General features: G+C 40.2%; 1 protein-coding gene across 10 annotated transcripts in view, besides 3 other annotated features; it reads left to right on the top strand.

The window, feature by feature from the left end:
* Positions 15,136-15,467: a silencer, noted in NCBI's record as "fragment chr6:39693187-39693518 (GRCh37/hg19 assembly coordinates)". NCBI's record gives its function as "represses an EF-1alpha promoter that drives an FKBP-Casp9 reporter gene in an ReSE screen in K562 erythroleukemia cells {active_cell/tissue: K562}" and the evidence as "EXISTENCE:reporter gene assay evidence [ECO:0000049][PMID:32094911]".
* Positions 15,230-15,429: a silencer, noted in NCBI's record as "silent region_17168". NCBI's record gives its function as "represses an Ori minimal core promoter by ATAC-STARR-seq in GM12878 lymphoblastoid cells {active_cell/tissue: GM12878}" and the evidence as "EXISTENCE:reporter gene assay evidence [ECO:0000049][PMID:35858748]".
* KIF6 (kinesin family member 6) overlaps positions 15,470-26,748 on the top strand; it is a 395,419-nt gene continuing 384,140 nt past the window's right edge. For all 10 annotated transcript variants that reach the window (XR_001743238.2, NM_001289020.3, NM_145027.6 and 7 more), the window contains exons 1-3: positions 15,470-15,633; positions 20,067-20,176; positions 26,112-26,186. Coding sequence is in view for 9 of the 10 variants with exons in the window: in NM_001289020.3 (NP_001275949.1) it covers positions 15,568-15,633; positions 20,067-20,176; positions 26,112-26,186 (251 nt within the window). In the remaining variant the exon portion in view is untranslated. The remainder of the gene's footprint in view (positions 15,634-20,066; positions 20,177-26,111; positions 26,187-26,748) is intronic.
* Positions 15,680-15,749: a silencer, noted in NCBI's record as "silent region_17167". NCBI's record gives its function as "represses an Ori minimal core promoter by ATAC-STARR-seq in GM12878 lymphoblastoid cells {active_cell/tissue: GM12878}" and the evidence as "EXISTENCE:reporter gene assay evidence [ECO:0000049][PMID:35858748]".

Genomic DNA, 26,748 nt, shown 5'->3' with positions numbered 1-26,748 from the left:
GAAGAGGTCCTTCACATCCCTTGTAAGTTGGATTCCTAGGTATTTTATTCTCTTTTCAAAGAGAATTGAATTCTCTTTGTGAATTCAATTGTGAATGGGAGTTCACTCATGATTTGGCTCTCTGTTTGTCTGTTGTTGGTGTATAAGAATGCTTGTGATTTTTGTACATTGATTTTGTATCCTGAGACTTTGCTGAATTTGCTTATCACCTTAAGGAGATTTTGGGCTGAGACGATGAGGTTATCTAGATATACAATCATGTCATCTGCAAACAGGGACAATTTGACTTCCTCTTTTCCTAATTCAATACCCTTTATTTCCTTCTCCTGACTGATTGCCCTGGCCAGAACTTCCAACACTATGTTGAATAGGAGTGGTGAGAGAGGGCATCCCTGTCTTGTGCCAGTTTTCAAAGGGAATGCTTCCAGTTTTTGCCCATTCAGTATGATATTGGCTGTGGGTTTGTCATAGATAGCTCTTATTATTTTGAGATACGTCCCATTAATACCTAATTTATTGAGAGTTTTCAGCATGAAGAGTTGTTGAATTTTGTCAAAGGCCTTTTCTGCACCTATTGAGATAATCATGTGGTTTTTGTCATTGGATCTGTTTATATGCTGGATTATGTTTATTGATTTGCATATATTGCACCAGCCTTGCATCCCAGGGATGAAGCCCACTTGATCATGGTGGATAAGCTTTTTGATGTGCTGCTGGATTCGGTTTGCCAGTATTTTATTGAGGATTTTTGCATCGATGTTCGTCAGAGATATTGGTCTAAAATTATCTTTTTTTGTTGTATCTCTCCCAGGCTTTGGTATCAGGATGATGCTGGCCTCATAAAATTAGTTAGGGAGGATTCCCTTTTTTTCTATTGATTGGAATAGTTTCAGAAGGAATGGTACCAGTTCCTCCTTGTATCTCTGGTAGAATTCGGCTGTGAATCCATCTGGTCCTGGACTTTTTTTGGTTAGTAAGCTATTAATTATTGCCTCAATTTCAGAGCCTGTTATTGGTCTATTCAGAGACTCAACTTCTTCCTGGTTTAGTCTTGGGAGGGTGTATATATCCAGGAACTTATCCATTTCTTCTAGATTTTCTAGTTTATTTGCATAGAGATGTTTATAGTATTCTCTGATGGTAGTTTGTATTTCTGTGGGGTCGGTGGTGATATCCCCTTTATCATTTTTTATTGCGACTATTTGATTCTTCTCTCTTTTCTTCTTTATTAGTCTTGCTAGCAGTCTGTCAATTTTGTTGATCTTTTCAAAAAACCAGCTCCTGGATTCATTGATTTTTTGAAGGGTATTTTGTGTCCCTATTTTCTTCAGTTCTGCTCTGATCTTAGTTATTTCTAGCCTTCCGCTAGCTTTTGAATGTGTTTGCTCTTGCTTCTCAAGTTCTTTTAATTGTAATGTTAGGGTGTCAATTTTAGATCTTTCCTGCTTTCTCTTGTGGGCATTTAGTGCTATAAATTTCCCTCTACACACTGCTTTGAATGTGTCCCAGAGATTCTGGTATGTTGTGTCTTTGTTCTCGTTGGTTTCAAAGAACATCTTTATTTCTGCCTTCATTTCGTTATGTACCCAGGAGTCATTCAGGAGCAGATTGTTCAGTTTCCATGTAGTTGAGCGGTTTTGAGTGAGTTTCTTAATCCTGAGTTCTAGTTGGATTGCACTGTGGTCTGAGAGACAATTTGTTATAATTTCTGTTCTTTTACATTTGCTAAGGAGTGCTTTACTTCCAACTATGTGGTCAATTTTGGAACAGGTGTGGTGTGGTGCTGAAAAGAGTGTATATTCTGTTGATTTGGGGTGGAGAGTTCTGTACATGTCTATTAAGTCTGTTTGGTGCAGAGCTGAGTTCAATTCCTGGATGCCCTTGTTAACTTTCTGTCTCATTGATTTGCCTAATGTTGACAGCGGGGTGTTAAAGTCTCCCATTATTATTGTGTGGGAGTCTAAGTCTCTTTATAGGTCTCTAAGGACTTGCTTTATGAATTTGGGTGCTCCTGTATTGGGTGCATATATATTTGGGATAGTTAGCTCTTCTTGTTGAATTGATCCCTTTACCATTATGTAATGGCCTTCTTTGTCTCTTTGATCTTTGTTGATTTAAAGTCTGTTTTATCCGAGACCAGGATTGCAACCCCTGCCTTTTTTTGTTTTCCATTTTCTTGGTAGATCTTCCTCCATCCTTTTATTTTGAGCCTATGTGTGTCTCTGCACGTGAGATGGGTTTCCTGAATACAGCACACTGACGGGTCTTGACTCTTTATCCTATTTGCCAGTCTTTGTCTTTTAATTGGAGTATTTAGCCCATTTACATTTAAGGTTAATATTGTTATGTGTGAATTTGATCCTGTCATTCTGATGTCAGCTGGTTATTTTGCTCATTAGTCAATGCAGTTTCTTCCTACCCTTGATGGTCTTTACAATTTGGCATGTTTTTGCAGTGACTCGTACCGGTTGTTCCTTTGCATGTTTAGTGCTTCCTTCAGGAGCTCTTTTAGGGCAGGCCTGGTGGTGACAAAATCTCTCAGCATTTGCTTGTCTGTAAAGGATTTTATTTCTCCTTCACTTATGAAGCTTAGTTTGGTTGGATATGAAATTCTGGGTTGAAAATTCTTTTCTTTAAGAATGTTGAATATTGGCCCCCACTCTCTTCTGGCTTGTAGAGTTTCTGTTGAGAGATCAGCTGTTAGTCTGATGGGCTTCCCTTTGTGGGTAACCTGACCTTTCTCTCTGGCTGCCCTTAACATTCTTTCCTTCATTTCAACTTTGGTGAATCTGACAATTACATGTCTTGGACTTTCTCTTCTCGAGGAGTATCTTTGTGGCATTCTCTGTATTTCCTGAATCTGAATGTTGGCCTGCCTTGCTAGATTGGGGAAGTTCTCCTGGATAATATCCTGCAGAGTGTTTTCCAACTTGGTTCCATTCTCCCCGTCACTTTCAGGTACACCAATCAGGCTTAGATTTGGTCTTTTCACATAGTCCCATATTTCTTGGAGGCTCTGTTCGTTTCTTTTTATTCTTTTTTCTCTAAACTTCTCTTCTCACTTCATTTCATTCGTTTGATCTTCCATCACTGATACCCTTTCTTCCAGTTGATCGAATCGGCTACTGAGGCTTGTGCATTTGTCATGTAGTTCTCATGCGGTGGTTTTCAGCTCCGTCAGGTCCTTTGAGGACTTCTCTGCATTGGTTGTTCTAGTTAGCCATTCGTCTAATCTTTTTTCAAGGTTTTTAACATCTTTGCCATGGGTTTGAACTTCCTCCTTTAGCTCAGAGTAGTTTGATCATCTGAAGCCTTCTTCTCTCAACTCGTCAAAGTCATTCTCCGTCCAGCTTTGTTCCATTGCTGGTGAGGAGCTGCATTCCTTTGGAGGAGGAGAGGTGCTCTGATTTTTAGAATTTTCAGTTTTTCTGCTCTGTTTTTTTCCCATCTTTGTGGTTTTATCTACCTTTGGTCTTTGATATGGTGACGTACAGATTGGATTTTGATGTGGATGTCCTTTCTGTTTGTTAGTTTTCCTTCTAACAGTCAGGACCCTCAGCTGCAGGTCTGTTGGAGTTTGCTGGAGGTCCACTCCAGACCCTGTTTGCCTAGGTATCAGCAGCGGAGGCTGCAGAACAGCGGATATTGAACAGCAAATGTTGCTGCCTGATCATTCCTCTGGAAGTTTTGTCTTTGAGGGGTACCTGGCCTTGTGAGGTGTCAGTCTGACCCTGCTGGGGGATGCCTCCCAGTTAGGCTACTCGGGGGTCAGGGATCCACTTGAGGAAGCAGTCTGTCGGTTCTCAGATCTCAAGCTGCGTGCTGGGAGAACCACTACTCTCTTCAAAGCTGTCAGACAGGGGCATTTAAGTCTGCAGAGGTTTCTGCTGGCTTTTGTTTGGCTATGCCCTACCCCCAGAGGTGGAGTCTACAGAGGCAGGCAGGCCTCCTTGAGCTGCGGTGGGCTCCACCCAGTTCGAGCTTCCCGGCCACTTTGTTTACCTACTCAAGCCTCGGCAATGGCAGGTGCCCCTCCCCCAGCCTCACCGCCACCTTGCAGTTTGATCTCAGACTGTTGTGCTAGCAATGAGCAAGGCTCCGTGGTCGTAGGGTCCTCTGAGCCAGCCGCAGGATACAATCTCCTGGTGTGCTCTTTGCTGAGACCATTGGAAAAGTGCAGTATTAGGGTGGGAGTGACCTGATTTTCCAGGTGCTGTCTGTCACCTCTTTCCTTGGCTAGGAAAGGGAATTCCCTGACCCCTTGCACTTCCCACGTGAGGCAATGCCTCGCCATGCTTCGGCTCACGCTTGGTGCACTGCACCCACTGTCCTGCACCCACTGTCCGACAATCCCCAGTGAGATGAACCCAGTACCTCAGTTGGAAATGCAGAAATCATTCGTCTTCTGTGTTGCTTATGCTGGGAGCTGTAGACTGGAGCTGTTCCTATTCGGCCATCTTGGCTCCACCCCCACTAGTACTTACTAAATGGCTAAAAAATTTCTTAAGTGTCAATACCAAGTGCTGATGAGGATAGAGAGCATCTGGAATTCTGAAATATTTCCAGTGGGAATGCAAAATGGTATATTCATTTTGGAAAACAGTTTTGGGAGTTCTTATAAATTTAATCATACACTAACAATATGACCCAGAAATCCTTCTCCTAGGCACTAACCCTAGATAAATGAAGGCTTACATCCTTAAGTGGTTGAAAGGATAAACAAACAGTGGTACATCCAATCCATGGAATACTACTCAACAATACAAAAGAACAAACTATTGATACTTGCAAAATAATGAATGAATTGCAAATACATTACACTGAGCAAAGAAGCCAGACTCAGAGGTTACATATTGTATGATTTTATTGATATGACATTCTAGAAAAGGCAAAATTATAGGGATCAAGAATAGATCAGTAGCTGTCAGGAGCCCAAAGTGAGGAGATGATTTGATGACAAATAAGCAACATGAGAGAATTTGGAGGTGGGAGGAGTGATAGAATTGTTCTGTATCCCAATTATGGTGATGGTTATATGGCTGTATACATTTGTCAAAATTCACAGAACTGTGTATTTCAAAAAAGTGTACTATACCGTAAGTGAATTTTACAATCAAGTTTAAAAATTCAACTCAACAAACATTTAACGTTTGAGTATTATATGCCAGGCACTCTACTAAAGGTAGGATAGAATACAAAAATGAGAAAGTCATGGATCTGCCCTTGAGGGAACTTTAAACTGTCTTAGAAAGGCATTAGGCTAGAGGAAAGAATGGCACATTCTGAATGCTATACTAGAAAGCAGTCTACATAAAGAGCTTCAAGAGAAGTAAACACAGAGACTAGAGGGTTTAAAGGCAGATGAGATGGAGACCTCACTTTGTAAGTGTGATGAGAAATGAAAACTTATGGGATTTAAGATGTACCTTAAAAGGTGGCGTGATTTAGCAGGCAGAGATTGGAGATGGGGGAGAAGAGAGGTCAGGGCAGAAGGAGGCCCACAGAAGGTGATGGGTGCTGGCGGTGAAGCAGGCTGTGTAGGGACAGAGACGCGTGGTTCAGTTTGATTGGAGGGAAAGGGGAACATGTTGGAACTAATTTGTGGAGTGTCTTGAATGGCTTGGTAAGATGTTCTTAATTCAATGGAAAGTGGGGAACCATTAAAACATTTTCAGTAGAGCTTGACTTTAAAACAGAATTTTCCAAATTTCTTTGACCATAGGGCACTTAAAAATTATAATGTAAACACAGAACACCAACACATTGCCCGGGAGAGTTAATGCCAGCTTTTTGTCCTTTAATCCTTTAAATCCTTGATTTAGCAACTGATCCACAGAGAAAACATTGTATAGTACAAATGTTTAGTATATAAAAAAGTGGAATATTATCAAAACTATATATTATAAGACACACACAGACACAGATTAGAGATCATCAAATAGGTAAATAATACTAAAAGGATGATTGGCTGACGAACGTGATCTAAGCATCTATGATTGGATGTTATGTGTTCCTAGAGCAGATGAATCTTGTGTGGTTTACTGTGATTCTATAGGATGTTATACTATTATCATTTAGAGGTAGATGCTGTTACTTAGATAACCACATACTATAGGATGTTATAATATTATCATTTAGAGGTAGATCCTGTTACTTAGATAACCACATAAAACTTAGAAGTACACAAGTATGCTTGGTAATTTTCTAACATACATGTTTTTAATTTAGAAATTTAGAAGAAAAACATCAATAGTGCTGACCATAGAAGACACTGTTGATACTCTGCCCACTTCTTCCCAGTCCACCCCGCAGATCATTGCAACTTTAGTGGACATACCTATACATGCCAAAAGCATCCTGCCTCCAGGGTCTGCACCTCTCTCTGCCCAACGGCTTTCTCTGAATGTCAGGGCACACAGGGTAAGTTGGAAGTGCTGGGGAGGTAGAATATTCCCACCTCCGAGAGCAGCCCTCCAGCAATGAAAAGCAGGAGCTGTTGAATAAATACCCTGCTTCTTCGCCCCTTGGGGAGCAATGCTGAGGTGTGCTCTGTAACAGTCTTGTGGAGGGTCCTGGTGGGAATGAGCCCTACTTTCCCACTGGGAAAATCCACCCATAAATGCACCTATCACTGGTTTTCTTCCTTTCCCTGTTTTCTTGGGATCATCTCCCAAATAAATTCCTGACACCCAAATCCTCATCTCAGTGTCTGTTTGGGGAGAATGCAATCTGAGACAATGTTGTTTTTTCCCCCAGCAGGCATGTTTTTACCAGTTTAACCATTATGTCATTTCTCATTAAATAAGTATTTATTAAACACTTACTACATACAAGAATGGAATACGATGATGAGCAAGTGAAAAGTGATCTAGGCCTTCATTTAACCTAGACTAGTAGTAATTATAAAGTCCAAGGTGCTAAGGGCACATGTAGCTAGGGCTCTGAATCTAGTCTGAGAGGGTCAGGGGAGACTTCTCAAAGAGAGTGATGTTTCAGTTCTGCCTGAGCAGTGAGCAAAGGCTTGGAAAAGAGGAGGGAGAAAAGTGTTACAAGCTGTGTAATTTAGGAAACATTCTTTTTGTATTTGGGGAAATAAAAGTCATGGCAGAGGAGGAAGAGCAAACTGCCTTTGTCAAACATCTGAAAGTCCATTTTAATACGAAATAAAAGAAGGTGAATAAGTATTTAATTGGTGATTTGTAAACGATGCATTCTTTTTAAATTAAAAACAAATTGATCCCTAGAGTCATTAAATGCTTCCCAGACATCCTGAAAGAAACTCACTAATTTAACAGTGGGCCACTGTGCTTCTATACCTATCACTCCCTCAGATCCTGTTTCTGTTGTCTTCCATTGATACAAATGTTAATGTACTCTGTTTATCACCCTGGGAAATTTGCAACCATTTTTTTTTTTTTTTTTTTTGCCTGAAAAAAGAAGGTTCAGAAATGGAAACCATGATTTAATTCTTTCTCTTGCTAAATGTCTACTCAATTTGTAGATTGTCTTTGTTTTCTTGGGTGAAACAGGAAGAGAAAGTAATTTTCACTATGAAAATATGAAGCTCTAATAAAAATTTTTAATTTGTAAAGGTTTTATTGAATCAATTCCTTGCAATGAGTTCTGCATCCACTCATTCATTCAATACACATGTAGAAATCTCCCCAGTACCTAAACCTTGTTAGTCACTGGAAATACAAAGATAAACAGGGTTTAGTCGCTGCCCTTAAATAATCCTAAGAATGATGAGGAGACAGATACATATTGACAACATTGGCAGCGAAAGAAGCACTAATACAAAGGAACGTATAAAGATGTAGCTTCACAGAAGAGGGTCACTAACTTCGCTAGGGGAGATGGAAGGGATGGCTTTCCAGACCGGGTGACATTTGAGCTGGATCTTGAAGTATAGGTCGAATTTTCCTGACAAAGTGGGAGGCAGCACTGAAAACAGAAGAAATGGTCCTGACAAAAGCATGGAGAAATGAAAAAACACGGCGTGCTTGGGAACTGCAGGAAATCTGTGGCTGGCGTACAGGGGCAGGGAAGAGGAGGTGGAAGACATGGTAAGGGCTATGAAAGTGATGTAAAGACAGCTGGGGACCAGGTTATGAAGGACTTTTGGCCTTGATTCTATTTGTAACAGGGATTGGAGGTCTTCAAACAAGCACTGATGTGAACTGGTTTGCATTGTATAATCTTGCAGCGGTTGTAACAGACGGAATAAAGGGGAGGGCGGGATTAGAGGCAGGAAAAGCAGTTAGGAGAACTTTGCTAGTTCTGGCAAAGAGACTAAGAGCCAAACTAAAGCAAGTAGTAAGTAGTGAGGACAAAGTTGAGGGGAGGGAGGAAAAAATTATTCAGGAGGCAGCATAACCAGGACTTGGAAACTATTTGGATGTAGATATGCTAGAGAGAGGAAGCAGCAAAGGGCAACTTTGAGGTCATGCCTAGGCAACTGGCTCTATCATGACAATATTCCAAAATGTACAGACAAAAGGTGTCACTCTGGAGGTGCAAAGTTTAAATAGGTCCCATGGAGGAGGAGAGACAGAAACTAGACTGCAGGAGGTTGAAAAGTAAATGAGAGATTAGGAAGTAGAGACCTGGATAGATTCGACTGCCAAATACCCAGATTCAGGATGAATAAGGTGTGGTTGGATGTTGTGACAATAATAATGTGTCAGATAAGGCTCTCTGCTATGTGAGCCATTTTCTTTTACGTTTTCAGTTATTTGTTGATAAGCATTTTTTCTAATTCTGAAATATGCAAAGAAGCACATTTAAGTAAACACCCTCAGGAGATAGGACAGCATGGGTAATTTAGTTAGAAGAGAGGCGTTCTAGAGCTATTTTTAACTCAGCCCATCCCTTGTTTCCTCGGGATGTTGGTGAAACATTCAGGTTGTTTATGAGGAGCCTGTGTATAAATACACAGTCATATTTTCCATTCAAAACTGGAGGCTTTACCAGCTTTCCCTCGATGCCATGGCACTGTCATTTGGTTCATATGTTATAGTCTATAATCCGGCAAGAGCCTGGGCTGTAATTCCATATGGCTGGCCACCAGCTTCCAGCCCTAAATGGCTTTGATGTTGTTCTTCAGGGGGAGCTCCAGGGGGTGCTGCAGGAAGAGATCAGATAAATTGGGAGAAAGGGGCCTCTGCTTCTTAGCCAAAGAGGTAAGAACCAGCAGGAGAGAGAACCGAGTGTGATGGCAAAATCCTATCGACCCAAGTGCTGGTGACGTTTTATGAATTCCACTCCGCTATATGTGGAAAGATGGTTATGCTAATGAAACTATGCTTTAAATTAGCTGAACATATTCTCAGAAGAACATTTTTTGCTAAAATTATATATTACAGATTTTGTGGTACCCTTGCTCTGCAATTTAACAGCATGTTGTTATTATTTGGCATTTAATGAGTACCAGAAATTGCTCTGAGTATTCTCCACTTGGTTCAGAAACAATGAAATAAATTACCTTCTTAGACTGCCTGGTATTAGAGGATCCTTCTGGTACTGACCACCCACAGACTGATAGGGAGGGGATTTCTGATGAAAGTCTCCTCCGCAGAAAATATGTTTTTTCTTCCTCTTCTTTTGACTACTTCCCATGAAATCCTCAATCAGGGACACCCAGGAATCATACAGTGCCCAAAGTCCTACCCAGTATCACCAAATATAAAGGGACAGTTTACATAAGTTGATTCTTTTTTTTTCGAGACGAAGTCTTACTTCATCGCCCAGACTGGAGTACAGTGGTGCAATCTCGGCTCACTGCAACCTCTGCTTCCCAGGTTCAAGTGATTCTCCTGCCTCAGCCTCCCCAGTAGCTGGCATTACAGGTGTGTGCCACCACGCCCGGCTAACTTTTGTATTTTTTAGTAGAGACAGGGCCAAGCTGGTCTCAAACTCCTGACCTCAAATGATCCACCCGCCTTGGCCTCACAAAGTGCTGGGATTACAGGTGTGAGCCACTGCACCCAGCCTTGGTTGACTTTTGTTCCATTAATATTGCTATTTATTAATAAGTGGCAAATTTCTGATGACTGGCCTTGCTTCTTGGAGGTAGTTATTAAAAGAAGACCCCAGTCAAATGTTTTCTCTCTTGTTAGTGAAGTCTCCAGCACCTGTCTGGAAAGTCTTGTTCACCTTATAATGGCGGGGGTGGGAGGGGACAGTCATGCTGTGACCATGAAAGATTTTTGAACAAGCAAAAACATAAATTCCCCAAAGCCATGGATAAACTAGGGGAGGAGGAAATTGACTGCAATTAGGTAATTTTATGTACATATTCTATATCAAAATTACAGCCCATAACATTTTTACTGGTCCCTCTTCAGACTTGTAAAATAAAATAATGCATTTTATAGTTGTAGCAGCAACAGCTAAAGAGGTATTTGAAAACTAGTGCGAGAGCGTAGTTTCATTTTTTTTTTAAACAAAACAAAACAAAACGAAACATACAAGCAAACAAATCCAACTAACTTACCGATAGACTAATTCATTTCAGGCACAGCTTAATTTCTTTCAGATTTGAGGCTTATAAACCCTGGCTAATTTGCCTGGTACAATTATCTGTTATTTTGGCAACTACAAAGTTCAAGCATCTTTTAAATAGTTGAAAAGCATCTTAATTCTCACATTTAAACAAGCAGATAAAATACAAATAATAACACTGAATATAAATCCAGGGGTGGGAAAGACACTGTGACTTGGAGATTTAATCTCAAAACCTATTTTGTACACATTACAGCCATCTGTTTGAGATTTAGGTAAACCTGTCAGAGGCAGTGGGCCTGGGAGTTACTGAGGTCAGTTATACCAGAAACAGAAAAAGGGGTTGAAGTATGGTCCTGCAAATGTGCTTTATTTAGGCAGTACTGTGCTGTAACCATTTTGAATGTGAATGGTTTTAGTTGGGGCACTAGTCTCCAGTTCACCATGACGCTCCCTATTGTCATATGCCTGTCTGCTTGATGAATTTACATCATTGGTCTGGCCCCAGGAGACATTTGAGTTTGCAATCTCCAATATGTCTTACATGCATATGTATGCCATTGTTTCTGCTCTTTAGAAGGTGTTTACAATCAAAGGAATTCAATCCACAGGTCAGAACCCTTTAGATATGAGCATTCTCTATTCACCGGAAACCACGTTAATGCCCACATTACATGTCCATGATAACCCCATGAGGTAGCTATTGTTATTATCTATCTTCATTTATTGGATGAGGCAACTGAGACTTAAAAGCATAAATTACTTGCCCAAGGTCACACAAGTAAAGATGAACACAGGATTTGGGAATGACAGATGCAGGATTGGAACCCACATTTTCTCTCCATCGAAACATTTAATTGTATGACCCAGAGCTCAAGACAGGAATTGTTAAAGATCCCACATCCTGGACCCACAGATTTCCCTTCTTCCTTTTGCAACACTTCTTCAAAGACCACAGGTATCTTTAAGCAGCCTAGACTTCATGATTAAAATGCTCCTTTGTGAATACCCTTGGCTCCCTGGCCTTGTCACCTTCCATTACACCCTCTTGGTAAGTGCAATTGCTCATCTGAGGAAAACACCCATTCTCTTCTCTCTTCCCCATACCGTCAACCTCCCCTTGTTTATTAGATATACCCCTTTGGATATGGACAAAGACCACTGGTACGCTGGGTTCCTCTAGCTCTCACCTGTGTGTTGCTTCTTCACAATCCTTCACAACTAGGCTTCTGTGAAAAGTAGCCTATCTTGACTGCCTCCACTTCCTAACTTCCCACTTATTCTTCAGCCTCTGGCAACCTGACTTCTGACACTGCTACTCCACTGAAATCTATATTACTAATGACTTTCTAGTTGCTGAATGAAATGGGTGTTTTTCAGTGCATTGTCTTTACTATTCAACACCGTTGAATACTTTCCTCTCAAAATGTTCTCTTCCCTTGGCTTCCATGGCATAACATTCCCTTTTCTCTCTCAGACCTCTCTGGCTGCTTCCTTCAACTTCTTTTGCAGCCCCTCTTCCACCTCCAACCATCAGTGTTAGGATTTCAACCTTGATGCTCGTGAGTGACTTGGTTACTTTCTGGAAAAAACTTTGTGATGACTCCCAAGCCTATATTTCCACCATAACTTACTCCTAAACCTTATCCAGTTACTTCTGAAGTCCCACAAGCAATTGAAATTTAACATGTCCCCAACTCCTTATTTCCTCCTTTTTCCCACTCCCATCTATTTTGCTTGTCCAGGTGAATACCTGCACCCAATCTTGAGTCATCTCTTCCTTGCTAGGTGAAAAAGCCCCAAAGTCTATATAATAAATACCTGGTTCTCTCTTCTTCTCAATTCCTGATATTGCAGCACCTGTTCATACTCAATCTTCTTCTTTTTTTTTTCTTTTCTTATTGTGGTACAGTTTATATACAGTATAATTCACTCTTTTAAGTGTATAGATAGTTCTATGAGTTTTAACAAATGCATATACTTATGTTACCACAACCACAATCTAAATATGCAACAGTTCCATCACCCCCCAAAAAACTCTCCCATGTTCATCTGCAGTCAACCCCTTTTCCTACCCTCAGCACCTGGAAACCACTGATCTGTTTTCTATCCTTACAGTTTTTTTTTTTCTCGAATGTCATATATATATACAGATATAAATATAATTATATATGACATATAATATATAACATATATAACATATTATATATGATATATATAATTAGATATATATTATATATAATTCAATTATATATGGAATTATAAAGTACGCAGTGAGTCTGGTATCTTTCACTCATCATAATAAATGTGAGACTTAACCATGTTGTTGTAGGCATCTGTAATTCATTCCTTTTTACGGCATAGATATATCAGTTTGTTTATCTATTTACCAGCTGAAGAACATTTACTTTGTTTCCAGTTTTTGGCAATTGTGAATAAAGCCACTATACACATTCATGTTTAGGTTTCTATGTGAACATAGTTTTCATTTCATTTGGGTTAATAACTAAGAGTGGGATTGTTGTGTCATATGGTAAGTATGTGTATAACTTTATAAGAAATTACAAAACTATTTTACAAAGTGGCTGGTCCATCTTGTTTTCTCATCAGTGATGTTTGAGAGTTCTAGATGCTCTGCATCCATGTCGGCACTTAGTTTTGTCAGTTTTATTTTCTTATTTTTCGCCATTCTAAGAGATGTGTAGTGGTATCTCATTGTGGTTTTAATTTCATTTCATTAATGATTAATGATATTGAGCATATTTTTCATGTGCTTATTTGCCATCCATAGATCCTCTTTGGTGAAGCGTTTGTTCAAATCTTTGCACCCTCCCTTCACCTTAAACAAATGAATTGTTTGTTTTTCTATTATTAGGTTTTAACAGTTTGTATATATTCTGGATGCAAGTCCTTTATCAAGATACGTGTTTTGCAAAAGTTTTCTCCCAATCTGTAGTTAGTCTTTTTGTTTTCTTAAGTGTCTTTCAGCTGGGTGCAGTGGTTCATGGCTGTAATCCCTGCACTTTGGGAGGCTGAGGTGGGTGGATTGCTTGACCTCAGGAGTTCAAGACCAGCCTGGGCAAGATGATGAAATCCTGTCTCTGCAAAAAATACAAAAATTAGCTGAGTGTGATGGCACATGTCTATAAGCCCAGCTACTTGTGGGGCTGAGGCAGGAGAATCGCTTGAGCCCAGGAGGTTGAGGCTGCAGTGAGCCGTGTTCATGCCACTGCACTCCAGCCTGGGGTACAGAGCAAGACCTTGTCTCAAAAAAGAAAGAAAGAAAAAAGGGTGTCTTTAATAAACTTTTTGTTTTGTAAAAAATAATACAGAGAGAACTCGTATACCCATCTCCCAGTTTTCCCCAGTGGTAATGTTTTGCATAACTATAGTACAATATAAAAATCAGGGAATTGACATTGATACAATCCATCAATCTTATTCAATTTTATGTGACTTTTGCCAGTTTTACATGTGCTTATTTGAACATGTGTGTAATTTGTTCTATGCAATGCTATCACATGTGTAGATTTCTGTGATCACCATCACAGTCAAGATACAGAACAGCCCATCACAAGGATTTCTTTTATAACCATACCCTGCACACCTCCCTGGCAATAGTAATAGAACCATACGGTAGTTAGCTTTCGAGTCTGGCTTCTTTCATGAAACATAATTCCCCGAAAATTCAACCAATTTGTTACGTGTATCAACACTTCCTTCCTTCTTAATTGCTGAATGGTATTCCAGTTATTTTAAACTATCAGCTGAAGAACATCTGGGTTTTTTTTCCAGTTTGGGGCTATTACAAATAAAGGTGCTAAAACTATAAACACACATGCGCAGGTTTTTGTGTGAACACACGTTTTCATTCATCTGAGATAAATGCCCAAGAGTGCAATTGCTGTGTCTTAGAGTAGTTGCACCTTTAGTTTTGTAAGAAACTGTCAAACTATTTTCCAGAGTGGCTGTACCTTTATACAGTGTATGTTTTACATTATACATTCCTACCAGTAAAGTGCAACTGATTCAGTTTCTCCACATCTTTGCTAGCATCTGGTGTTGCCACTTTTTTTTTTTTTTTTTTTTTTTAAGCCATTCTGATAGATGAATAGTGATGCCTCATTGTGGTTTTAACTTATATTTCCCACGTGGATAATAATGTTGACTATCTTTTCATGTGCTAACAGTGTTTGAAGAGCTCATCCTTTCTTGCCGTGACCATTGTGTGGGAAACAGTCCCCTTCATCCAGTTTTATCCTTTTCCAAAACAGAGCTAGCCCCACTTCTAATTCCATCATGGCATAGTTTGTATTCCTTGGTTTTGATTTCCTGTTGAAAATCTGTCTCCTTGTCACTTGAGAGACCTTGTGAAGGAAAAAAAAAATCTGTCTCCTTCTTCAGACTGTGATCTCCAAGTGGGCTGGAGCAGTTCTGCAATCTTGGCTCACTACAGCTTCGACCTCCCGGGCTCAAGCGATCCTCCTGCCTCAACCTCCCGAGTAGCTGGGATACAGGCGCGCCACCACGCTTGGCTAACTTTTGTATTTTTTGTAGAGACGGAGTCTCACTATGCTGCCCAGGCTGGTCTCAAATTCCTGGGCTCTAAGCGATCCTACCACCTCGGCTTCCCAAAAACTGCTGGGATTACAAGCATGAGCCACCACGCCCGGCCCAGTGCTGTATTTTTTTTTAAAGGCAAGGGCATGGAGAATAAAATGGGTGAATGAGCGGGGCGGGGCAAGGCATGGTGGTTGTTCCCCTTTAACCACACGGTCCAGGCCGGGTCCGGCGCTAAACCCAGAGCCCAGACACTCGCTCATGCGCATGCGCAGCGCTCTCCTCTCCACCCCCGCCCTCCCCTCCCTAGCCCCGCCCCGTAGTGGCCTCCTTCCGGTCGCGACCAATTAGAGGGAGGAGGCGGGATCCTGGCTGCCAAGGTGCTCACTGGGTAGTGTCCCTAGCTACTGTTGCTAAGACTGTGGGTCGCCGGAGGTGGTGGGAGTTAGTTTTGGCAGCCCGGGCCTGAGAGAGGTCAAGGGTCATTGCAGAGCCAGGGAGGAGATGGTGAAGCAGACTATCCAGATATTCGCGAGGGTGAAGCCCCCTGTCCGGAAGCACCAACAAGGGGTACGGGCTGGAGCCTCCGGGGCGCCGGCGCGGCGGGGCCTCTTGGGCTGGGGTCGGGCGGCGGCACGCGAAGGGGCTGGGCGGAGGTGAGGGGCTTGCTGGTGGGCGCCGAGGCCGCCCGGAATCCCGCACACACTGACCGAGGAGCCCTGCAGCCGCGAAGACCCCCGCGCACTGCTGTCAGCTACGCGACCGACAGCCAGGCCACTCCTACCTGGCACAGCGCAGACCCGGCAGAGAGCCATTTTTTTTGCACCCAGGCACACGTGTTCACGCGGGGGCAGACTAGTGCATGTTCAGTATGCCTGTATAGTGTGCGCTTCAACTACACATAAGCACTTATTGCACCTTTCTGGGAAACTCACGCAGCACCGCACATGCAGATACACTCAAAGGTACATTTTGGCACTCGGGCAAAACGTGCAAGCAAGAGATGCGTGTTTATGTACCTCTGAAATAATACAAATATAGATAGACACAAATGCACAAAGCATACACATATGTAGTACTTTGCACCCAGTGGGGCCTCAGTAATTAGTTGACTGTTGTTATTCTCCAACATAAACGTGAACCTTTACATATACTCCTTGTATTAATAGATATAGGTAGATGCTTAAGCATCCTGACCCAAAGAATACGCATGTGTACTTCATTCAGAAACAATTAACTAAATATTTACCAGGTGCTTCCTCTAGTGTGCTAAATTCAGAAAGGTATAAAGAAGGTTAAGACATTGCCCTGACTCTGAGCAATGATACTTTGTATGCACCTTTTTTTTTTTTTTTTTTTTTTGAGACGGAGTCTCGCTCTGCCACCCAGACTGAAGTGCAGTGGCGCGATCTCGGCTCACTGCAAGCTCTGCCTCTTGGATTCACGCCATTCTCCTGCCTCAACCTCTCAAGTAGCTGGGACTACAGGTGCCCGCCACCACGCCCGGTTAATTTTTTGTGGTTTTAGAAGAGACCGGGTTTCACCCTGTTAGCTAGGATGGTCTCGATCTCCTCCTGATCTTGTGATCCGCCCGCCTCGGCCTCCCAAAGTGCTGGGATTACAGGCGTGAGCCACCGCGCCCAGCACTTTTTATGCTTCTTAAATATTTCAAAACATCCTCTCTTCTGCCTAGAAGGGAGCATAGTCATTCTTATGTATCTTGAGAAATGGCCACCTGACAGGTGCTTTATCTGCATTATCTCTCATTCTCACAAGAACCCTGCAAGGTTGGTGTCATTTTCCGCATTTTACAGATTAGGAAACTGAGTCTCAGGTTAAATAATGTGACCAAGGCACCCAGCTGGGGAGTGGCATAGCTGTAATTTTTTTTTTCAATTTTAGAACATTTATTTTATTCGTTATTATACTTTAAGTCCTGGGGTGCATGTGCAGAACGTACAGGTTTCTCACGTAGGTATACACGTGCCGTGGTGGTTTGCTGCACCCACCAATCTGTCATCTACATTAGGTATTTCTCCTAATGCTATCCCTCCCGTAGCCTCCCACCCCACGACAGGCCCCAGGGTGTGATGTTCCCCTCCCTGTGTGCATGCGTTCTCATTGTTCAGCTCCCACTTATGAGTGAGAACATGTGGTGTTTGGCTTTCTGTTCTTGTTTTAGTTTGCTGAGAATGATGGTTTCCAGCTTCATCCATGTCCCTGCAAACGACATGAACTCATCCTTTTTTATGGCTGCATAGTATTCCATGGTGTATATATATGTACCACATTTTCTTTAACCAGTCTATCACTGATGGGCATTTAGATTGGTTCTATGTCTTTGCTATTGTGAACAGCAGAGCTGTAATTTTAATTAAGGATTTTTGATTTCAAAGCTATCCCCTTTTCGGAAACCTTTTTTGCCTCTCAAAGTGACAATTTAGGCAAGGGCAATTTGGATCATATTTGTGAGTATATGGAGTGGGCATATTAATAATGTTGTATTCCTGTTCCATATATATACTGGGTATATGTCTATGTGGAATATCATAGCATCTCATGATTAAGCATTTGCCTCGTATAATTTATGTATTTAAAACAGGAATAAAGTGGTGTAGAAAGAACCATGGGTATCTTCCCATTTTCTCTCCTCTAATAATCACTTACATGCATTTCTTTTTAGAGTGCATCATATGTAAAAAGTGTATTGTATGTAACATTTCCCCCCAGATTCTTAGCTTAAACTGTTGAGCTTATCTACATGGGCTCAGCAGTCAGAGCAGAGGCTGGGATAAGGTCAAGAGACAGGATGGGTAGGGGTGGGGCTCAGGGAAGTGGATGGAGAGTCTTGGATTTAATACTGAACTTTCTTTTCTCTTAAAATGCAGTGTTTGGATATTTTAATGTACCTCATTTTGTATGTCTTTGGTGAGTCTGTAGAGTGGATTGTTTGATCCTCCAGGAAGTAGTTTTAGGTGTCATATTTTTAGGTGTCACACACACATACACACAAAGAGAATGGGAATGAATAAATATTGAATTAGTATATCCCTGTTCGCCCTTAAAAACTCCACAGTTTAATGCCATATCTTCTTGTCCGCAAAAGATTGTAGAGTTCTTTCTCTGACTAGAAATGCTTTTTGTAGTATTAAATTGAGAGTGACTCAAAGGAATTTTTTTCTTTCTCTTCATTTTATAGCTTCATTACTGCATTACTTTTATTCTTTAAGGCATCATAAAGTAAATTGTAATAACAGATTAATAAAAAGGATATATAAAATGAATCTTTGATAGTTTTAACAGTGGTAATGCTTTCCATTTGTACAGTGCTTTATACATTTCAAAACATTTTCATAATCATCCTTGCACTTGTTCTGTCTTCTTAAAAAAAAAACTTCACTATCTCAAATAATATTTTTATGAATAAGGATAGAAAGCCAATATTACACTAAACAAGTGATCTGGTTCTAAGGGACTTTTCTTAAGGCCTCAAAGAGTGTCTTAATCAGAGTAGTGGAGGGTCATTAATGGCAGTTAATATTCTTTTCTGTCTGCTGAGCAGAGAAATATAGACTTTTTAAAAATGGATGTAACTCCTCACTCTTGTATGTTTCATGTCTTATACACCCCCTTCACTCACCTGTCTGGCTATAAAACTTTTTTTTTTAATGTAGTGCCCAACAGGATATAATTTTTAAATGTCTCTTGAGAAAACCTAGCCAGAAAGCCTTGAACCTGATGCCATTGCTTTCTACAAATACTTTATTTTATGTAATGACTTTTCTGCATGAATTCTTCACATTTTAAATGAGAAGTTTCAATAAAAATATACTTAGGAAAATATTCAAACTTTCTGGAGATTTAGGTAGGCTTTTACTTGCTTAGGAATATGACTTTTTCCTCATAACCAAGCATCTAAATGGGTCTTAAACAGGAAGTATTGCCTGTTAGAAGGAATTTTATTTCATGGTAAAAGACAAGAAGCCTTTAAAAAAAAAAAAAAAACCTTTAAATCTAATGACTTTTTTTTTTTATGGTGCATTACAATTTTATGGTGATTTCCATTACATCATTTGATCCCCACAGCAATCTTGTAAGGGAGGTAATTCTGTTTTCCTCATTTTATGTACAAGGAACCTCAATTCTGAAAGTGGTGGCTGGTCACACAGCTGGTAAATTGAGCTCAGTGTTGGACCCAAGTCTTGGGACAAATCTTATGCTTTTATTTATTCCACATGACCTCTTTATAGGCTTGACTTTTAATTTTCCTGGCCAATAAAAATGATGGAGTAGGAAACCAGGAAGAGAATCAGAGAATGTTACAGTCCTAAGGGTGTTGGTTAAGACCCTCTATTTCCATATCAGCTTAGAAAGGCTTAAGGATTTCTCCCAGGTCACTTGCTAATTAGTGGCTGAGTTGGAAGGAGAACCTTGAAAATGACATCAAATACATGAATTACATGTGTCTTTTGAAGCCACATCTCTCTTATCAAATGCCTGAAAATGTCTCATGGAACCTTAGGCTTCTTTGAACATAACTTGAATTAGAGCATTCTTGGTGAGCTATCTGAGATGGCTCCAAACCTAGTCCCTTTATCTCTGGTATTTTGTAAATGCTCAGAAATGCTTATTGATTGTAGTAAAATGTTAACTCCTGATACACAATACTAAAGCAATACTTAGATAAAATGTTGCTTTCAGGCTATTAGTTTCTCAATGACAATAATAACAGAGATAGTCAAATACTTATATTTGAATGTTAGATCATTCAAAGATGATCTGACTTTGATACAGCATTAATTTAGGTTTTACTTCTGGTTCAGTTCCATATATTTGTCTGAATCCACACAGTTCAAAGAGAAAAATTATTCAAATTATATGATATTATGACTTTTTAATCTTAAGAGTATAATTTTCATATCATTACAAGTCATAATAACATGGTGATAGTTCAAGCCATAATTTCACCATTTTATATCCATTTGTTGTCTTCACATTTGCAGATTTATTCCATAGATGAAGATGAAAAATTAATACCTAGCTTGGAAATCATCTTACCACGTGATTTGGCAGATGGGTTTGTGAATAATAAGCGAGAAAGCTACAAATTTAAGTAAGTTTTTCTTTCTCCTTTTTTCATTTCTGTTTCATTATTGAACTAACTCTTGTACTGCATTAATATTCATTGTGAAATCATTAGCACCATTTCTTGTGGAAAATGCAACGCAGCTCTTCATCTCACCTAGTAGACTGAACTCAAGTTGCCTTTTCACTGCTGTGCCCAAGGTCAAAAATAATGTGTATTTCTATATCTGAGATTGTATTCCAAGATTCCAGCCTTTCTTTACTAGCTCTGTTTATCTAGTATTTTCCTACTCAACCCACTCTTGTTTAGCACTTACAGAAAGTTCCAATGCATGATTAAACTTCACTGACGGTAAGAACTTACAGTATCATTTGTGTGCTACATAGGTAAGCCTTCTTTATAATATATATGATATTTGGACCTCATATACACATATGTATACTCTATATCTGTGCTGTCCAATATAATAGCCACAAGCCACATGTGGTTCTTGAACACTTGAAGTATGTTCAAACTGAATTGAGATGTGCTGTAAAGTATAAAACATATGAAGGATTTTTGAAGACTTAGCATGAAGGAAAAAGAATGTAAAATATCTCAAGACATTTTTCATATTGATTATTTGCTGAAATTGTAACATTTTGGTACATGAAACTTCTAACTTTGGTTAAAAGTATATTATTAAAATTAATTTCAGCTGTTTCTTTTTGTTTCTTAAAGTTTTATTTATTTTATTTTAAATTTTTAAGATGGGGTCCTGCTCTGTCACCCAGGCTGGAGTGCAGTGGTGGAGTCATAGTTCACTGTGGCCTTGAACTGCTGGGCTCCAGTGATCCTCCCACCTTAGCCTCCTGAATAGCTGGAACTACAGGCCTGCACCACCATGCCCAACTAATCTTTTTGCTTTTTTAAAAACGTGGCTAGTAGAAAATTTTAAATTACATATGCCCTCACATTTAGGGATGCCATTATATTTCTCTTGGGTAATGCTGAACTATAATGGCTCAGTTGAAAAATACCAAACAGCTACCCTTGCATGGTCATCAGTGTCTTTGGTCTGAATACTCTTTTTGTAGCTAGGTCTTGAATTTAGGGAGTATAGCTATTTCACATTCTCTTTAGTCTCCATTTTCAGATTAATCTATTTCTTTTAATCTCCACTTTTGATTTCTGGGGAAGTTTGAGCCCAAATTAAATCCGTCTTTGATCTCTGGCCCAAATTTTGGTGACGGATTTCTGGATCCTGCTGAAAGAATCCTAATTCTTCTCTTCAATGTATCTCTAGACTGTTTTACAAAGGCCCTGTTTTGAGACTATTCCTGCCTTTGCCCTTTGGATAAAACTATCCCAGATTTTTTTTTATTCCTCTCTCTCTCTCTCTTTTTCTTTTTAAATTCTTTTCTTTTTTTTGAGACAGAGTTTTGCTCTGTCGCCCAGGCTGGAGTGCAATGGCGCAGTCTTGGCTCACTACAACTTCCGCCTCCCGGGTTCAAGCGATTCTCCTGCCTCAGCCTCCCAAGTAACTGGGATTACAGGCACCTGCTACCATGCCCAGCTAATTTTTGTATTTTTAGTAGAGACAGGGTTTCACCATGTGGGCCAGGCTGGTCTCGAACTTCTGATCTCAAGTGATCCACCTGCCTCGGCCTCTCAAAGTGCTGGGATTACAGGCATGAGCCACCGTATCTGGCCTTTTTCTTTTTAAATTCTTATTTGCTTTTTTTGTTGTCTCATAAAGAATTTCTCCTTGGTCTTCATAACTCTACCTTTTGTCTTTCATATATAATATACATCTCTCCCTCCACTTCCACCTCATTTTCTTATTGTGTCTTTTACAGTAAGTACAAGCAAGGCTTGCTAACCTATTGTTGCCTAGTGGGGCGGTCCTCACCTTGTCTTTATGTCTCCCCATTGTCTTTCATTATATCCTTTAAGGAATAGCCCTAAAACCTGTGCTTTTCTTTTTCTTTCTTTCTTTTTTTTTTTTTTTTCTAAGACAGGTTCTCACTCTGTCACCCAGGCTGGAGTACAGTGCTACAATCTCAGTTCACTGCAGTTCTGACCTTCAGGGCTCAGGTGATTCTCCCACCTCAGCCTGTGAGACTTCAGGTATGCACCACCACATCCAGCTAATTTTTTTTTTTTTGGTAGAGACTGGGTTTTACCATGTTGCCCAGGCTGGTCTTGAACTCCTGGGCTCAAGCGATCTGACCCTCCTTGGCCTCCCAAAGTGCTGGGATTACAGGTGTGAGCCACCGCGCCTGGCCCCTGCTTTGCTTTTTCTGAAGAGGACGTTCTCCCACTGATGTAAGCATGCTACATACCTTCATAATTGTGACTTGTTACCAGCTGGCCTAGGCCAAAATCTATTACATAAAACAACAGTTTGCTGAAATATTTTATTCAACATGATTCCATTTGATTGATAAGAACAATTTACTATGTCTTTATCTATGGACCCTATCCAAAGTATTCTTTTTTTTTTTTTTTTTTTTTTTTGAGATGGAGTCTCACTCTGTCGCCCAGGCTGGAGTGCAATGGCGCGATCTCGGCTCACTGCAACCTCCGCTTCCTGGGTTCAAGCAATTCTCCTTCCTCAGCCTCCTGAGTAGCTGGGATTACAGGCATGCAACACCACACCTGGCTAATTTTGTTTCCATTTTTAGTAGAGACAGGGTTTCACCACATTGGCCAGGCTGGTCTAGAACTCCTGACCTCGAGTGATCTGCCCGCCTCGGCCTCCCAAAGTGCTAGGATTACAGGTGTGAACCACTGCACCTGGCCCCAAAGTATTCTTTATATAGATACAAACAAAGTGCAATTGTTGTAAAAGCACCATTGGCTTATTTTTAAATCTCTGAATTGAAAATAATGGTTTTAATATTCAAAATTAAAAATTAATAAAATATTCAACTTACACATATGTTCAGAGATAAATATTTAAGCATTTTAAAGGCTGTTTTCCCCCAAGAACATTTATTCAACCAATAAATACTTATTGGCTACCCACTGTGAGCTGTTTTAATTGCTAGGAATACAGCAGGGAACACAACAAAGCTCCTGCTCTTAGGGAGCTTACATTTTAGTGGGAGGAGATAGAGGAGAAGATCAGTAAGCAAAATGTACGTCAGAAGGTGCTACGTGCCATGGAGAAAAGTGTGACAAAGAAGGGGAATGAGGAGTGCTGGATGAGGGGGGTGAAGGAGAGGAATGGTTGCAACATTTAATAGGTCAGGGAAGGTGTACAGCAAAGGAACATTTGAGCAAAGACTTGATGGAGGTGAGGAAGCCAGCCATTCAAGTATCTAAGGGATGAGACTTTCAGGCCAAGGGAATAGCAAGAGTGAAATCCCTAATGGGGAGAACGCCCGGCATGTTTGAGAAAAAGTGATCTATGTGGCTGGAGTAGAGTAAGCAAGAGGTAGAGGGGAGTAAGCATGAGTAGAGTAAGCATGAGGAGTAGAGTAAGCATGAGGAGTAGAGTAAGCATGAGGCAGCAGAATGGCCAGATCACTTAGAGCCTTATAAGTCATTGTGAGGACTTGAGCCGTGAGAAGGCAATGGAGGGCTTTGAGCAGAGGAATGAAATTATCTCACTTATGTTTTAGCAGGATCACTCTTGTTGACATGTGGAAAACAGGCTGGAAGGGGGAAAAGACTAGTTAGGCTATTGCAAGAGATACCAGGCAAGAAATTATGGTAGCGTGGACCAAGGTGGTAACAGTGGAAATGTTGAGAAATAATTGAATTCTGGATATATTGTGAAGGTCTCACCTGACAGAGTTTGCTGATGGATTAGACATAAAGTATAGTAGAAACAGAGGAGTCAAGCAGATCCTAATGGTTTTGGACTGAACATTTAGAGGGATAGAGCTGTTGCTTTCTGAGATGAGGAAGAGCACAGGAAGTGCACCATTCTTTAGGGTGGGAAGAAGTCAGCATATGCTGAGTTTGAAATGGAGTTTAGAAAAAGCCTACTCAAGTTCCTAACAAATGAAAAGACCTCCTAAGAATCAGGAAACCTAAGTTATGTCTCAAGGCATATTATTGATGAGCTCTAAGACTCTGAGTAATTACTTTATCTCTGTGGATCTCGACTTCTTCCTCTGTTAATCATTAGACTGAACCTGTTAAAATCCCTTCTAATTGTGATCCTATTGTGCTCTTCAGTGGTTTTCAGAAGACAGCTGATCAAAATGCCTTTTCAGATTACTATGCAACTATATTGTATAAAATGCAATATTTTGGGATGATGACATTTGATGCTTAATATATAGTTAATGGTTTATTGTAAACTTTGGTGCTAAAATCGTTCTTCTAAAATGTGTGGGGAAAAGTCAATAAAAAGGGAGATCTGGATTGCTTGTGTTTCTACCACCTGCTATTTTAAATAGTGGAGGATGTCATTTTCCCCCAAGGAATTCAATATCCTTTATAGATATTTTTAATTTAAATCTTGTTAGAAGTGACTGGTACATGGTAGGCCCTCAGTATGTGTTTGTGGAATGAATAGATCAATTAGAAATGAAAATGCTATCATTAATTTTACACAAGGTACCTTTCAGAAGATATTCTGTGTGTGATTCACTGCCTTCTTTAAAACTTCTGCTATCTCTTTTATTTACATGGTAGTAGATATAATTACTCTTTTTTTAAAGAAGTGGGGTAGAAAATGGCTAATTGATTCACCCAGTCATCACCCATCTGATAAAAGAAGTGAACCAGCGTTATCATCATTCTCCTCAAAAGCTGAGAATATGTGCTCAGACCTCATACTACACAGTGCTCTGAAAAGCAGTTCAGCAGCTATGTGTTATGTTGACCTCTGTGTTATGTTGGTGTTCATATCTGAAGCTGTGATACATCTATAGAGTTTTGAGAAGCAATCTGGGCACACTAAACAGTAAATATTACTGTCTAAAATACAATCTTCCCTGCTAAATGACATACTAGCCAGAGTGCCTTAGATTATCTCTTTGTATAGTTCATTGTTTGCTTCTCTAAAATGGAGGTAGGTCAGCTGTCTCTACTAAACTCTGTCGCTACTGAAAATATGAAAATTAGCCAGGAGTGATGGTGCACCTGTAATCCCAGCTACTCGGGAGGCTGAGGCAGGAGAATCGCTTGAACCCAGGAGGCAGAGGTTGCAGTGAGGCGAGATAGCGCCACTGCACTCCAGCCTGGGTGACAGAGTGAGACTCTGTCTCAAAAAAAAAAAAAAAATAGATTCTGTGTCTTCTACCCCGAGTGTTCCACTGTGCTTGCAATCCAGTACTAAGCTAAGTCAGAGAAGCATTGCAAGAAGAGTGAAATTGACACCACACCTCCACTCTCTTCCCCTAAGCCATTGCCAATCTGATTAAACCTTCTCTCTGTGGGACAGGTCTATCATAATTTACTTTTTGACTTTTGACTCATGGTCAACAAAATGAAACAAAACCATCCTGAGAATTAAATGGTTGATGCTAGGATATAGCACCAAATTAGTGGAAAAATAAACTTTAGTTCAAAATACTAAAACTAAGTTCAATAATCATACAATTCACAGTTGCATTCTTTTCTCACAGGTCAGATATTAGAAGTTCCTTGGCTGTTTACATCCTGTTCTTGGATTTCCATTTCATGCAGCTATCTGGTTTTGAATTTCTTGCCAATTGTAGACACTGTCCCTCTTGAGAGCTAAAAAGCACACAATTTGTTATTTGGTTCAAAGCTGCTGCAGTTTTTCAGAGGGATTTATTGTGCAGATCTTGTCAAAGCAATACTGTTTACCCACCATTTGTATACAGGAGTACAACAGCACAGTGTGGTTGAGACTACAGGGCAAACATTGTGCTAAGTTAGGTAAGCCCAGTGATGTAAATATGGGGTAATTAATAGAGCTTTCAGAAAAACAAGATTTATTAATCTGATAGTGTTTGGAGGTGCAGCTTTTAAATAATTACTATTTTTCACATTGCAGATTTCAAAGAATTTTTGATCAGGATGCAAACCAAGAGACCGTTTTTGAAAACATTGCCAAACCAGTTGCTGGGAGGTAGGATTTCCCATATTTTGTTCAGTGGGCTCGTGGTTTTTCATGTTGCCTTCAATTCTCAGATAACTGTGGTAGTGTGCTTAAGTGTATCAATTATATACTTAGGCTGCAGGACATGTAATGATGATGGCATTAATACCTTCTGTTCCTATAACCATTTGTTTTAGATTTAGATTCTGAGTCTCAAAACAAAACAAAACAAAATAACGCAGCAAAATAGACTAGCTATTGTTACTCCTATTTGTAAAGATATATAAACTGAGGGTCACAGAAATTAAGTGACACTACTCAGGGTTGCATGGGTAGTGGTGGCAGAGTCCTAGATGATTTTCTGACTGTTAAGTTCAGTGTTCTTTCCTCAGTACGGTACTTCAAACATATGGTTAGATGGACAAAGGATAAGGTATGGGTGGCACCTGGGAGGCTGCCTAATGATGCTGGCCCTGCTCTACCTCAGTGTCATTTCAAAGCTTGGCCCTTTGCTTTAATATATCTAGCTAATTCTAGGCTGCTGACTACTAGAACCAAACTCACATGAGGGTACCAAATAAATCAGAATGCC

This window comes from Homo sapiens, chromosome 6, assembly GCF_000001405.40.
Source record: "Homo sapiens chromosome 6, GRCh38.p14 Primary Assembly".
In the NCBI taxonomy this organism is placed as follows: Eukaryota; Metazoa; Chordata; class Mammalia; order Primates; family Hominidae; genus Homo; species Homo sapiens.
Note: the sequence above shows the minus strand (reverse complement) of the source record. Positions and strands in the feature narration are given on the sequence as shown.